The sequence below is a fragment of the Homo sapiens genome, chromosome 7, assembly GCF_000001405.40.
Source record: "Homo sapiens chromosome 7, GRCh38.p14 Primary Assembly".
Taxonomy (NCBI): Eukaryota; Metazoa; Chordata; class Mammalia; order Primates; family Hominidae; genus Homo; species Homo sapiens.
This window is the reverse complement of record NC_000007.14, coordinates 35,044,036-35,059,287: the sequence shown is the minus strand read 5'-3', so window position 1 is coordinate 35,059,287 and position 15,252 is coordinate 35,044,036. Positions and strand designations below refer to the sequence as shown.

The 15,252-nt window shown below is 46.3% G+C and overlaps 1 long non-coding RNA gene across 1 annotated transcript in view, besides 2 other annotated features; it reads right to left on the bottom strand.

The window, feature by feature from the left end:
• The window catches only part of LOC105375228 (uncharacterized), a 74,297-nt gene that overhangs the window by 51,795 nt on the left and 7,250 nt on the right, over positions 1 to 15,252 (bottom strand). The window lies entirely within an intron of this gene.
• Positions 570 to 1,306: an enhancer, noted in NCBI's record as "H3K4me1 hESC enhancer chr7:35097594-35098330 (GRCh37/hg19 assembly coordinates)". NCBI's record gives its function as "activates a minimal SCP1, AML or CMV promoter by ChIP-STARR-seq in naive H9 embryonic stem cells {active_cell/tissue: H9 hESC(naive)}" and the evidence as "EXISTENCE:reporter gene assay evidence [ECO:0000049][PMID:30033119]".
• Positions 1,307 to 2,044: an enhancer, noted in NCBI's record as "H3K4me1 hESC enhancer chr7:35096856-35097593 (GRCh37/hg19 assembly coordinates)". NCBI's record gives its function as "activates a minimal SCP1, AML or CMV promoter by ChIP-STARR-seq in primed H9 embryonic stem cells {active_cell/tissue: H9 hESC(primed)}" and the evidence as "EXISTENCE:reporter gene assay evidence [ECO:0000049][PMID:30033119]".

Genomic DNA, 15,252 nt, shown 5'->3' with positions numbered 1-15,252 from the left:
GATGAGTGCTGTTCATACACATTTCCCAGTGGTTCTACCCCCGGGAGGCAGCTATGTGATCAATAAATAGGATGCTAGGAGAGTGGGAATTTCCAGCAGTGCTTCGTACTGTCACCTTTGAGACCTATAGAGAGTTCTGCTGAGGGCAAGGTTTTGTGGTATAGGAGGTCATCCTGATGAGGGTTTTGTTTTTGTTTTTGTTTTTAAATGGTGGCTTTTAGCGTAAATTGGCAGGGATTGATCAGGTGTTTCCTCTGGGCTAATGCTCCTTGGGGATCATGGGATGTGGTCTGCACCCTCATCTGAGAAGGTCCAGTAATGGCAAGGCAGTCACCAGGGGACCCATGTCCTCAGAGGACCTGGCCCCTCGGAGAAACTGCAGGTTCACTGGGGGAGATTATCAGGATTTTAGACCTCAGGATGAAGAGACACACTCCAGGAGGGGCTGTGGATAGTTACTACAGTGCCCCAGAAAGGTGTCAGGGTAGTGCATGGGGAAAGTCCCCCAGGGTCCTGGCCAGCTTAGAGGCAATGGGGAGGAGCATGCTGGGTGACTGTGCGGGGTCCAGTCATGATCAGCCTAGCTCCTGAGGGGCTTTGCGTGGCACAGGTGTGAGGATAAGAGCAAAGATTCCAGTAAGGAACAAAGAGACAGTGAGTCTCTAGGAAGCCTGGACTTTGATTTAGCCAGACTTGGGTTTGCAGCCTGGTTCCTGCCCAGGGTAGAGTAAGCTCCTGTCACCACCACCGCCATTACAGGGGAATCCTAACAAATCTATGAGAGCCAGAAGCTACACACAATGCCTGGTGCTTAGTGCTCACCATATACTTGTCCTTGGATAGCCAATATCAAGTTAAATTTGCCAGAATTGTCACTCTGGGCCAGAAAGAGCTGTGTCCTGGCAATGGTGGCAGGGAGTCACCAGCAGGATCGGGTAGGACCCATGGTCACCACAGTGGCTAGTGCTGTGAGGAGGATGGAGATGAGGGAGAGTTTGCTCCCATAGGGCAGCACCATGGTGGGGCCACTGAGACTGAGACCAGCGCACTAAGGGCTGGGCTGGCGGTGGCCCCTTTGCACAGGCAGAAGAGCCTCCTGGAAGAGGACTCAGTCTGGGCCCACTATGGGGGCTGACTTCTTGTAAGGAACGGAATAGAGCACCAGGGGAGAACACCTCCCACATGAGGTGGTGCCAGAGCAAGACGCTGGACCTGACAACAAAGCTTTCAGTGGTGAAGACAGCAGAGACTCCAAGCTCCCTGTGAAGGAAGTGACTCATCCCGTCCCTAGGCCAGCTCCTTTCCTAAGGAGGAAAAAGGTGAGAATTCCAAAAAGAAAAACTCTGTCAGTAAATTCTAACATGGGAGGTCTCAAGGAGCCCTACTCGGCCCCCGTCCAACAGCCAGTAACACAAAAAGCTGGCTGCTCAGAGACCACAGCACAGTCTGTTCTTAGGACAGAAGAGCAGATGGGTGGCACACAGGCCATAACCACCAACATGGAGTTGCTGTGCCAGGTGGAGCCAGGGCCTCACTCCTGCACCCCATGCAGCTGTGACAGCTGGTGGCGGGCATTCTGGTGACAAGTGAGCCATGAGCAGGCTTGCGTGGCACAGAGAGTGGGCTTGTTCTTACATACCCATGAGACACCCTCCGGAGAGTCCCAGAAATACTGGCCTGGAGCTTACAGGTGGAGGAGGTGTGAAGGTCTGCAGATGCAAATGAGGCCAAGCAGTCAGTGAGATTTAAATTGGTCCTGTTAACCTGACCTCATTTGTATTCTCAGTATGAAGACGCTTTGGGAAGATAAGGCAAGAATAGTGATGATCAGTAATAGCATCTATTTGTTGAGCACCTATTGCAGGCAGGCACTAGGCTTAATACTCTAAACGTATTTTTTTACTCTTTATCCCAACCCTGAAATAAGGACATTTGAGACAGGAGGAAACAGGCTGAGCATTCATGTAAAGGTTGCGGCAGCATCTGGGAGAGGTGTGGGAAAGCACAGGAACAGGACCCAAATGTTCACAGCAGAAGCAGTCCCTAGCAGGGGCCCTTCTCTGGCATGCTCGCTGCTCCCTCTGGACTCGGCAGGAGTCTCCAGGCTCCAGGAAGGACATGGGGCAAAGCTCTGCTTTTTGACCTGGGCATCTCATTTTGAGGGAGTGGTGAGTTAGCCAAATGGGGCATGGAAATGACTGTGAAAATGGAATGGCAGCTGGAAGAAGGTCATGATCCAGTAAAGGGCATGAGGAGGGCAAACTGCAAAAGCCTGAGGCACTGCAGGGATGGGAATGTTGAATGGTATAACGGCACATCAGGGTTTCCATGACTTTGATGCAACGGGAAAGCGATTTTCACCTCAGACTCAAACTGGAAGTTTTTCTCCCCACCAAAAGGCAGGATGCCAGAGAAACAGACCTTTTCCCTCCTGGGTAAGAGTTTGGTGTTTCTCCAGTGCTCCACTCTGACCTAGCAGGGAGCTAGCAGAGACCATCGCACAGTCACCTCATCCAGCAGAGGATTTTCCACATGTGCCATGGGCTCTGTTCCTCAGCGACTTCAATAACAGAGGTTTAGCATCTGGGGGGTGCCAGGCTAAAGGAAGTCAATCAAGCTTCTTGTTTTGTGTTTCATTTTGCTTTTACCCTAGCATTTTCCAGAGCCTTTAACATGCTAAAACGAATTTGTCACTCACCAGGAGTGGAGATGCAGCCGATCCTGAATTTATCTGAAAAATGAAAATCTTTATTTGGAAAATGCTTATTAACATCTTAGCGAATTGGCGTTCTGGGGAAGATGATTTAGGAAAATCTGCTCTATGCATGTCACTGCCTGCTTCATGATTGCTTACTGCTTAATTTGATGCAACTTTTTTTTTTAACCAAAAGTCAAATAATAACCCAGGTTTACCATTTGCAAAGCTTCTCCCTACTCCCAACACACACACCTTCCTCCTTCTTCCTCTTCTCCCTTTCCCTCTCCCTCTCCTTTTCCTGCCCTTTACTGTACAAGAATGCCTTGAATAAACAAAACCTATAAAAAAGGAATATAAATTTGGCAGTGATTATTTAATTGGCCTTTGATTTCATGACAGGCAAAAATAAGTTGGGCCTCATATATATATATATATTTTTTTGCAAAAAATGATACTTTAAATACTAAAGGATTTAAAGGATGCTTGGTAAATATTTGTTGGCTTAATTCATGAAACATGTGGATGTTATGTGAAAATACATTATCTGTATCCCAGGAATAAAAAAAAAAAATATCCTTTTTCTGGCCTAGAGCATAATACTTCAGCCCTGGGGACCCCGCTCACCTGCTATTCTATGTATATGGTGCCCCCTGCAGCAGCCCTGGGCTCATTACAAGTAACACTGATTCTTAGGTGTTTTTTGCCTTTTTACCAATCTCTTTAGAGGAAGCAGATGGAAATTTAGAATTTTAACAGGGAATGTTTACCTGAGGACAGAAGCTAGATGAAAAGATCAGCTGGCACCCAGAACACATATTTTTCCTGACAATCCAGCCAAATGTGAATCCAGGCACTCGGTGTAATTCATCAGAACAAAGCAACACTGCAGGCAGGTTATGTGGTACCCACTTGCCTTTGTAATACCGCCATGCTCAATTCCAAACACAGCCTGTCAATTCATCAGAGCAGGACTGGTGAGAAAGCCAAGGCTGGCAGCAGGTTTGGTGCCACCTCTTGGTGCCAGAGCCACCTGCACACAGCATGGAGCAGCGGAATAGCCAGGGTGCCCTGGAGCCAGTTCCTTCCAGAAGCCAGCAGCCCTAGGGCTCCTCTATCCCACTCCCAGCAAGAAGGAGCTGCCATGACTATGAAGGCAGGAAGAGGAAGCTCAGACCAGGGGAAGGCTTGGGCTGTGTCTTAATTCTTCTCTGGTCCCCAGGGCCCAACACAGTTGTCTGGTTAATACTGCATTAAATGCAGCGAATTGATTCTAGCCCCAGTTCCACTAAGAAATTCCTGAGTGATCTCAGAAAGTTACTTCTCTTGGAGCCTGCAGCACAACAAACCACTCAGAACTTAGTGCTATAAAACAACAGCAAGCATTTGTCATTACTATCTTTCACTTCTTTAGGGGTTGATGGGGCTCAGCTAGGCAGTTTTTGGTCCTCATGCAGTGACAATCAGACAATGGCTGGGGCTAGAGTTCTCTTGAAGGCCTGTCCATTCATACTCTCTGGTGCCTGACTTGGGAAGACCTAAATAGCTGGCGGCTGGAACAGCCGGGGCTCCTCAGGCACCTCTGTCTATTACAGTGTGCTCCCTCCATGTGGACTCTCTGTCAGGGTAGCTGGACTTCTTACATGAAGTCACCTGTCCCCGGAGACAGGCTGGTGGAAGTCAATAACCCATTGTGATCCAGCTTCACAAGTCAAGCAGTGTCACTTCCACCATATTATATGCATGCCGACAGTCAAAAGTGCTACCCATGTTCCAGGGCAGGAGATAGGTCTCTCTTCTTGATGGGAAGAATGTTAAAGAATTTACAGACTTGCTTTGAAACAGAGACTTAATTTCTCCATATCCTCTAAATGAGGATAATAATACCTCATGGGCCAGTTTTTTTTGGTGGGGGGGATGGAATGATACTTGGGGCTAATGCAGATGAACTCGTGTGGTGAAAATTAAGGTGCAGTCCAAACATAAGAGATGGACAATTAGAGCTGTCTGAAGTTTCAAATTCTTAAACCGGAACATGTTATAATCTTTCAGAGGCCGAAAAAGTTTTCTTGTTGGCATTCTTCTCTTCAATAAATAAATCACCTGAGTTGCAAAAATACAATTTTCCCCATAAGATCAACAATAAAGCCATTTTGAATGAGAGAGAAATATAGCCTGTAAGTAATTTTTGCTTTTTCCTAATTTTCTCTTGATCAAAATAAGGTTGCCCACCATTGCTATGCGTCTTGTTACACTCACTGCCAAGGCTCAATGTCTTGCAAATGTTGCTGTGTATAAATGTTTATAGTGGAAAGGATTTAAGAACGAAAATGAGTTGTCATTGGCCTATTTATCATTAAGTACAATTGACATCTGTACTCTATTTGTATAAGTAAGATAGGTTAAAATTTGTTCTGTACCCACTTCCATTACAATGCCAATGACAAGTTATTACACTCATTTATTAGTTGGAACTCTTGGTTGCAAAGAAAAAAAAATCAAGGCTAAAACCACAAAAAAGGAAATGTAGGGGGGCCTCAAGCACTGGGGTGTTGGAATGCGGCTGGAGGGTCTGGAACCAACAGCTGACGGGAAGCAAGGCTCTCCAGGATTCATTCAGTCATCTAATGATTCATTCTCTCTTCCTCCCCCATCCTTGTTTCTCACTGTCTGCTGCACTCTACTCTGCACACTGATTATTTCTATATTTCTACTTCTCAGCCAACATGACAAGCAGAAGTGGCTGCTCCATAATCTTCAGTTTTGAGTCTGTCATTCACCAGGCTTGCCCAGGCTAAATTAAAACTCTTAGCTAAAGGTTCAAATTCTTGGGAGAAACAATGTTGCCTGGTTGTGCAGGGGCCAGTATCCATTCAGGGCTATGTCACATAACACAATTGTGCTGCAGGCTCCTGGGCATAGAAGGGGAAAGAGTGCTGCTGGGGAGGGCCTAAGGGATTCTTGGTGAAACGGAGAGCCACTCCAGAGGGTGGCAGCTACAACGTATTTACACACACACTTTCCTGCTCTGCTAGACTTGTTTTGTTCTTCTCTATCCTCAATATCAAGCCCAATCCATAGTAGGTAGTCAATGCATGCTAAGCTTTATAAGTGGAAGTTCTTACAGTCACATTTCTTAAACAGCAAAAGCACCTAGAGCTCTGGCGCACTTTGAGAATCTTGTGGTAATTAGCACACTAAATGGTGTTATCTCTTTTAAGTCCATCTTCATAATTTGAAATGTAACCCAAAGGCACATGTTGATGTCTGAAAACAAACTTCTCTAATGTAATTATGCCTCTTTAATGAAATATCACAAAATGCATTTTAAGTGGTAATGGAATGGGGGAAAAGTACATAATGATCAGGGAAAGTATGCAAACACAGTATTTAGATATATAGATATGTCTTTGGCTTACAATTTAATAATGCTAATGTATGTCTTAGTGTCTGCGGACTAGAGATGCAGTAGGGCTCTACGAAAAGTCCATTCATTTGAAGTAATAAAGATTTGGGGGTAAATTATTGGGAGATAATTGAAGGCCAGAGGAAAATATGCAGTGAAAATCTAGCAATCAGAGCTAGACATTCTCAAAGGTAATCAGAATTTTGTACCAATCTCGTTTTATTCAAAGTATCCCATATTTTTTGAGTTGGAAGGGATTTAGGGAAACATGTATTTCATCCCCTCCTGGTAACAACCAGTGACTTGGCCAAAGTCACATCAATGTCTTGGAGGGTCAAGGGACCAAAATGCCTAAGTGGAGGCACACATGTCCTAGAAGAGTTGGCTCATTCTTTCCCCCATGGCTTGCCATTTATTCCTTTAAAGGGGGAAATTCTCAGCTTGGAGTGATTTAATCTTATGCAACAAATGCTGTGGCTCCTGGGACTTATGTAGTCTTGGGAGGCAGCAGAATGCCCCAGAACGTATCTCTACAGGCTCACCCACAACACTGATGTGTTTGCTTTGTCACCATCTATTTTTCCTGCCCATTTTCCAGGAAGGCCCTAAGCTGGAGCACCTGACACACACTGCCAATGTCTAGCTTGATGCACCTTCCAGCTACCTTCTTCAACTCAGTTACATAAATATCTTTCTGCCTAGGTCTGTTTTCCAGGCCAATGGTTCCCAGCCATGGTGGTATCACAGCACACTGGGGTGTTGCAGTGAGCTGGGGTGTAAGCCATTTGTTACTAACAACAGAGTTCCAAAGTCTGCTAATGACTTCCTTTGTGATATATAAAGAGAATTCAAGTTAATCCCCATAATTTGCCACACTCAATTGCACCGAACATACTTTCTTAGGATGGGCTGTGATTCTTAGCATGGGCTCTTAGCATCTTTATTTTCAAGGAAGCAATTTTTAGCTTTTCAGGGAAAAAAACTCATGTTGTTATCTTTTATGAATTGTCCATCTCACAAGACAGTGTAGTGTCAAGGGTTAGGAACAGTGGCCTGAGTTCATACCCCAGCTCCACCCCTAACTAGTGATATAACCTTGAGCAAGTTTCCTCAGCCTCTCTGAGTTCTTTCTCCTACAAATTGAGGATAATGAAAGGATGCATCTTGTAGGCTCCTGTGAGAATTAAACAAGGTAGTATATGTGATATCCTGAGACAGTCCCTAGAACTTGGTAAAGGCTAGTTTTGTAGGGCTGTTTTTATTTGCTATTGTAAGGCTTTTCCCTTTTCTGGGGGTTTTCCTTGATGGTGTATCAGTCTTCTTATTTTGGGGCATAAAGAACAAATGTATCATTAATGCTTTGTATCATGCCCATACACAAATCTATGGGCTGGCTAAGCCTGGATTTCTTTTGTTTTCTTGACTTTTAAAATTCCATGGGCCTGTTTCTTGGCTGGCTCCAGAAATGCATCTTGTGTTTGAGTAACTCCAGGAAAAAAGGGTATTTGAGAAAATTTTCTCCAAGATATTTCATGACTCTTCACCAGCTCTCACTCTTGCACCTTGATTCACTTCTCCCTTCCTCCATCCATCATCTTCACGCTCTTTCTGTTTCTCTTCCAGGGAGAGGGGAGATAGGGTGAGTCCTGCTCAGGTTGCCTGCGCTGCAGCCAAGCTGGGGCCGAGCAGAGGAGACAAGCGGGGGTCTGGGAGGCAAACCTCTGGCATCCCAGGTTAAAGTTTCAAATCATTTTCTAGCCAATACTGTATATCTACTGTGCCCTGTGGGATACATTAGCATTCATGAGCTAACCTAATTGTTGTAGAGGCTACAAAAGAGGAGCTCAAATAGAGATCAGTGCCAGGAACGAAGTCCCACCTTTGATGTGTGAAACCCACTTCCACATTTTGACTTGTGATCAGAGAGACATTCTGCATTATTTGTTACCTCATTAACTTTTCCTTTTACTGTACAGACCTTGGGTAAAGATAAATTTACTTTTAGATAGATATGTTAAAAATCTATCATATCATAAGGAATGAGCAAAGAGGTCATTTCTCTTTTCCCTAAAGCTGTGGATCTCAGGCTCCCCACTTGGCAGAATCACCTGAGAAACTTCTAAAAGGTACAGATGCCATCCTTTTCTGATTGCATTCGCCTGGAGTGACATCTGGGCACCAGCATTTCTCAGAGCCTCCTAGGTAATTGTAATGTTGCCAGAGCTGCAGGGATGAGAGGCAGCGGCCTATGGGTATCCACTGAGCGTGTCATTACTCCTTTTGTCCCCCACTTTCAGGTTCCAAAAAAAGGGTTAGATGACACCAGCTCTGAAATAGTGTAACTCCACAGATCCCAAAATAATATATCTGTGTAACCTCTTAATAAAGTTTTATAAATAGTACATGTTCTATTGTTACCTACCTCATTCTCTTGGCAAAAATTTTAAGACTTGTTTCCAAGATTCATCTTAAACTACTAAAACAGAATTATGATGGACATTCAATAGCTATTCCTCCAAAATATGACTCTAAAAAAAGGGGGGGGGTGCTGGGCACAGTGGCTCACGCCTGTAATCCCAGCACTTTGGGAGGCCGAATTGGGCAGATCATGGGGTCAGGAGTTCAAGACCAGCCTGGCCAAGATAGTGAAACCCCGTTTCTACTAAAAATACAAAAAACAGGCATGGTGCTGGGCGCCTGTAATCCCAGCTACTCAGGAGGCTGAGGCAGGAGAATCGCTTGAACCTGGGAGGCAGAGGTTGCAGTGAGCCGAGATCGCGCCACTGCACTCCAGCCAGGGCAACAGAGTGAGACTCTGTCTCAAAAAAAAAAAAAAAAAAAAAAAAGCAAAAAAAAAAGGATGAAGGATAAACTGTGGAAATACGACTCTTTTTTTTCCCACGATTTCTTAAAATTTTGTTTACTTTTTCTGAATGTGTCCTTCACAAGTGTATAGATTATTAAATATTCCTAATAGAGGAATATGAGAAAATATTTGTCCTCAAAAAATGGAATACAGGATCAAAAAGTTAAAAAAAATTGAAAAACCTTTGCCAAGTGCAGTGGCTCATGCCTATAATCTCAGTACTCTGGGAGGCTGAGGCAGGAGGATTTCTTGAGCCGAGGATTTTGAGGCCAGCCTGGGCAACATAGTGAGACTCCATATCTATAAAAACACACATACAAAACAAAAAAAACCCCTTAAGTTAGTGAGAAGTGTGACCTCCAAACACTCAGAACTGATTCCTTTGGAGTAATGACCCTTAAACCACCTTTCAGGCCAGCATTTTGCAAGGTGTGGTCAAGATCCGTGTGCATCACAGTCCTCTGGCTAGAAATGCAGACAAAGACCTCACCTGAAACTCATTCTCTAGGGACAGGAGCTGATGAAGCGCATCTTAAGCAAGCTTCCTAGATATTTTGCTTGCCTTTATTTTTTATAGCAGCATTGCCCTCTTTAAAATAAAATTATGCCTGGAATCCCAGTGAATAAACTAGGTGAAGGGATGATGCAGGCTTGGGGTTCAGCAGTGGCCTGTTCTGGGGCTCCAGAGAAGTTTCCCTGAGGCATCATACCCAGCCACACGAGGGACTCCAAACATCAGTGTCACCTCTGCCTCCAGCTTCCAATGAGCTGCCCATCCCTTAGCTTTCCTCCTCTCCCTCCATCATGTCTTCATTCCCTGGGCTGCCTTTGTTAAGGTCCTTGGTCCCCTGGTCTCGCTATACTCTTTCTCCTTTAATCGTCTTATTTGCTCCATGGTTTCTGGATTGCATGCATTTGTCCAAAATAGTCACAGCAGAAAAGAAACTCAGAATACATAAGGTTGGAGTGAGACAAATTAATTTTTTTGAACGTTTGCATTTAACACACTGAACAGTGGAAGTTTAGCATCCCATCATTTCATTGTTTACCCACTTTGGCTGGAGTGGGCTTCAAAGATAGCCAAGCATTCTCTGGCTGTTCAGGATTGCTATGGAGGGCTGAATCTTGTATTACATGGTTGTCTGCATTATGTAAAGTAACTAACATCAGATTCTCCATGCAAGTCTAATTCTCATGAAGAAAATAATATTGCAGATTAGAACTTTGAAGCTGACATTGAAGGAATTGTGTGTCAGTTCTTACAGTCCTAGTTGTGCTTTTTTTTTTTCATGAGAGATGAGGAAAGGAGAACAAACACCAAGTCTGCGTGTGAATTGCAGTGCTATGATAAGCATAGATTGGGCAGTTCCAACTAGCTCTCAAGGCTGTTTAAGATCCAAGTGTGACTAAATGCTGATCGCACAAAGCAAGACACATCATTTGAAACAATCACTGGGGGGTATTATTGTGGCATCTCTTTGGGGGAATCCAGAGGCCCAACTTAACCCTCTCTTACTTCCACACATTGAACAACTGAGTATTGAGAGAGGCTCAGGATGAGGAAAAGCACACTGGCCCTAAAATATCATTAATATCGTTACCCAGCCCCGCAACCCCAGTCACCCCCAACCAGAGGTGGAAACCCTCAAAACATGGGTGGAAGTCCATGGACCAACCATGGAATTTTGGGCTGTGTGCTTAGCTGATGCCACTTCTTCCTCTGTGTGCTTAGCTGATGCCACTTCCTCTTTTGTCCATTGCATCCATAAAAGAAGCCATTTTGGGTAGGCCAGAAAGGATGGGAATAAGCTCTTTTTTTTTTTTCTATCTTCTATCCTCCAATTCTCTCATTAACTCAGGGCCAATGGCAACTGGGAATCACTTGTTTTGATTCCTCCTGAGACTGCACAGAACACACATGGCATATTCCTCCCAAAGCTGCTAGAAATCTAGCATGGTGTACACTGCTCTGCAAGCAAGATGCCAATGCTAGAGCGCAATTTCACTGCACTTTATACTTCAGCTCTTGTCAGAGCAGCCTTGACTCCTCCAGACACAATGTTCATAGTTCAGGTGCAAAAATCAGGTGCTGGAATTCATGTCAGTTAGTTTTCTTTTAAAAGCAAAAGACTCCTTATCAGCAACTCCTCCCTAATCTGTTGCCTGCTACAAACTGGATACTGTAGTAACAGGGAGTTCTTGGCTGGCAAAAGTAAAAGTAGGGAGTTCACCCACTCCAGCATTGCTGAGCAGAGTGTGCTTCAGGTCATCTTGCCATGGCAATGAAATGTTTCCAGCTATTTCCTTAAGGTTCATTTCCTAAGAACAAACCATGATTCATGGCAATGGGTGGACGGGCGGGTGAATTGAATTAATGCCTGATTGGTAAGTAAAACAACTAAATCTCTTAGTTTTAAAATATATCTGCAAGATTACTCTAAAGTAACTATAGTTTAGAAATGTACAGTGAATACTTTGAAGGTCTAGACTTACACCAATCTGTTTCCTAATCATTAGGAATCTGTATTAGAGTTCTGTCAGTCAAGATTTGATTCACTTATTTATTCAACAAATGTACTATGCATGTAGTGTGTGCAGCTACTGCCCTAGGCACTGGGGATGCAGTATTGCCTTCAAGGAATTTACATCTAATCTATTACTTAATATATTCAAAATGGGAGAATCTTTGCTTGAACCTATTAATAGTAATGAGGTCAAGTACAATTATACATATTTTCCAGAGTTAACCTTTCAGCTGGTCTCATATTTGTCCTGTCATGCTCTAAACATTGTATTACAGGTGTGCCATACCTCATCCTTCCTGTTAAATCAGCAGCCTCCCAGCCCCTAGGATTTCTTCCCGTCCACATTCTTGCTGTCATCTCAGCCATCCACACCACCCACGTCACAAATTTACTCCCTCATAACATATCTACTTGCACAATGTTCCTCAAATCCTGTTTAAAATCCATTAGTGTTTTGCTCAAGAACCTTCACTAGTTTTTTATTTCTAAATAAAACATTTACCCTTCTTTAAGGCCCTAAATCTCGAGTCATTTAACGTAATTAAACTTGTTTTCTGTGATTTAATTAATTCATTTAATCACATAATCAATCATTAACCAACAAAGATTTAATAGGCACCTATGGTATATGTGGTGGCCCTGAGCCACCAAAGGTATTGGTAGCAGATGCTGTGGTGGCCACCCAGATTCCTCCTTCAGGTCTGAAGCCCTCCTCCCCTCAGCATGACAGGGGTGTTGGTGGCTGAGGGCTTCCAACTCAGTCCCTCTTTGGCAATTGCTCTTGGCTGAAGGGAGCTGCCTTCCCGCGGTTACTCCCGCTCACTGGAAGCAGTCAGCACTGATAATAGGTTGATGTGAATGTCAAAGGTTTGGGATCTTTACTGCAACTTGCAATGAGTTTGAAGGGGCATCCTAGCTCCAGAGTTCCCTATTGGATTGGACTGAAGTTCAACTTCTCTCAGCCCAATTCCACTTTCCTCACCCCATAACAGTCTCAAGAAGCTTACAGTCTAACAAGAAATCAGACAAATAAGTAGACAAATAAAACAGTGTGGTAAGTAAGGCTCATGCCTGTAATCCCAGCACTTTGGGAGGTCGAGGTGGGTGGATCACCTGAGGTCAGGAGTTTGAGACCAGCCTGACCAACATGGTGAAACCCTGTCTCTACTAAAAATACAAAAATTAGCTGGGTGTGGTGGTGCGCGCCTGTAATCGCAGCTACTCGGGAGGCTGAGGCAAGAGAACCACTTGAACCCGGGAGACAGAGGTTGCAGTGAGCCAAGATTGCACCATCACACTCCAACCTGGGGGACAAGAGCGAGACTTCGTCTCAAAACAAAACAAAACAAAAACAGTGTGGTAGGAGATATGACAGGGGAAGGTCTAGGTTACAGGAAGAGAAGAGTTCCTGCAGGATCTGAGTTCTAAGTGAGATGTGAAGACTGAGCCAGAGTCATCCAGGAGAACTGGCAGGGCCTGGGCAGGACAAAAGGGTGGCCATCCAAGATAACAATATATGTGCATGTCCAGGGAAGAGAGGGCATTGGGCACTGAGGAATGGTGAGAGGCACTGGGAAATTGTGAAGGGCACTAGGGAATGGTGAGGGGCACTGGGGAATGGTGAGGGGCACTGGGGAATGGTGAGAAGCACTGGGAAATGGTGAGGGGCACTGGGAAATGGTGAGGGGCACTGGGAAATGGTGAGAGGCACTGGGAAATGGTGAGAAGCACTGGGGAATGGTGAGAAGCACTGGGGAATGGTGAGAGGCACTGGGAAATGGTGAGGGGCACTGGGAAATGGTGAGAGGCACTGGGAAATGGTGAGAAGCACTGGGGAATGGTGAGAGGCACTGGGAAATGGTGAGGGGCACTGGGAAATGGTGAGAGGCACTGGGAAATGGTGAGAAGCACTGGGGAATGGTGAGGGGCACTGGGAAATGGTGAGGGGCACTGGGAAATGGTGAAGGGCACTGGGAAATGGTGAGGGGCACTGGGGAATGGTGAGGGGCACTGGGAAATGGTGAGAGGCACTGGGGAATGGTGAGAGGCACTGGGAAATGGTGAGGGGCACTGGGAAATGGTGAGGGGCACTGGGGAATGGTGAGGGGCACTGGGGAATGGTGAGGGGCACTGGGAAATGGTGAGAGGCACTGGGAAATGGTGAGAGGCACTGGGAAATGGTGAGGGGCACTGGGGAATGGTGAGGGGCACTGGGGAATGGTGAGGGGCACTGGGGAATGGTGAGGGGCACTGGGGAATGGTGAGGGGCACTGGGGAATGGTGAGGGGCACTGGGGAATGGTGAGGGGCACTGGGGAATGGTGAGGGGCACTGGGGAATGGTGAGGGGCACTGGGGAATGGTGAGGGGCACTGGGGAATGGTGAGGGGCACTGGGGAATGGTGAGGGGCACTGGGGAATGGTGAGGGGCACTGGGGAATGGTGAGAGGCACTGGGAAATGGTGAGAAGCACTGGGAAATGGTGAGAAGCACTGGGGAATGGTGAGGGGCACTGGGAAATGGTGAGAAGCACTGGGGAATGGTGAGGGGCACTGGGGAATGGTGAGAAGCACTGGGGAATGGTGAGGGGCACTGGGGAATGGTGAGGGGCACTGGGGAATGGTGAGAGGCACTGGGGAATGGTGAGGGGCACTGGGAAATGGTGAGAGGCACTGGGGAATGGTGAGGGGCACTGGGAAATGGTGAGAGGCACTGGGAAATGGTGAGGGGCACTGGGGAATGGTGAGAAGCACTGGGAAATGGTGAGGGGCACTGGGAAATGGTGAGAGGCACTGGGAAATGGTGAGAAGCACTGGGAAATGGTGAGAAGCACTGGGGAATGGTGAGAAGCACTGGGGAATGGTGAGGGGCACTGGGGAATGGTGAGGGGCACTGGGAAATGGTGAGGGGCACTGGGGAATGGTGAGAAGCACTGGGGAATGGTGAGGGGCACTGGGGAATGGTGAGGGGCACTGGGGAATGGTGAGGGGCACTGGGGAATGGTGAGGGGCACTGGGAAATGGTGAGGGGCACTGGGGAATGGTGAGGGGCACTGGGGAATGGTGAGAAGCACTGGGAAATGGTGAGGGGCACTGGGAAATGGTGAGAGGCACTGGGAAATGGTGAGGGGCACTGGGAAATGGTGAGAAGCACTGGGAAATGGTGAGGGGCACTGGGAAATGGTGAGGGGCACTGGGGAATGGTGAGGGGCACTGGGAAATGGTGAGGGGCACTGGGGAATGGTGAGGGGCACTGGGAAATGGTGAGAGGCACTGGGAAATGGTGAGAGGCACTGGGAAATGGTGAGAGGCACTGGGGAATGGTGAGAGGCACTGGGAAATGGTGAGAGGCACTGGGGAATGGTGAGGGGCACTGGGAAATGGTGAGGGGCACTGGGGAATGGTGAGGGGCACTGGGAAATGGTGAGAGGCACTGGGAAATGGTGAGAGGCACTGGGGAATGGTGAGAGGCAAGGCTGGAGAAGAAGGGGCAGGAAGAGGGTGTGTGTCATAGATCCTGAAGGCCTAGTTAGCCATGTCAACAGATTTGGAAGTGGTGAATGGTTTTCAAAACAAGGAGTGACAGGATTCGATTTGTATATTGGAAACAGCTCTCTGGAAGATTGATGGGCAACAAGAGAAGATGCGAAGAGGTCAGTTAGAGCTGCTGCTGAAGACCATGGGAAAAATGACTGTGGATCATGGCATTGAGGGTGGAAAGCAATGAATTGATTTGAGGACCATTAATGAGACAGAATCAGCA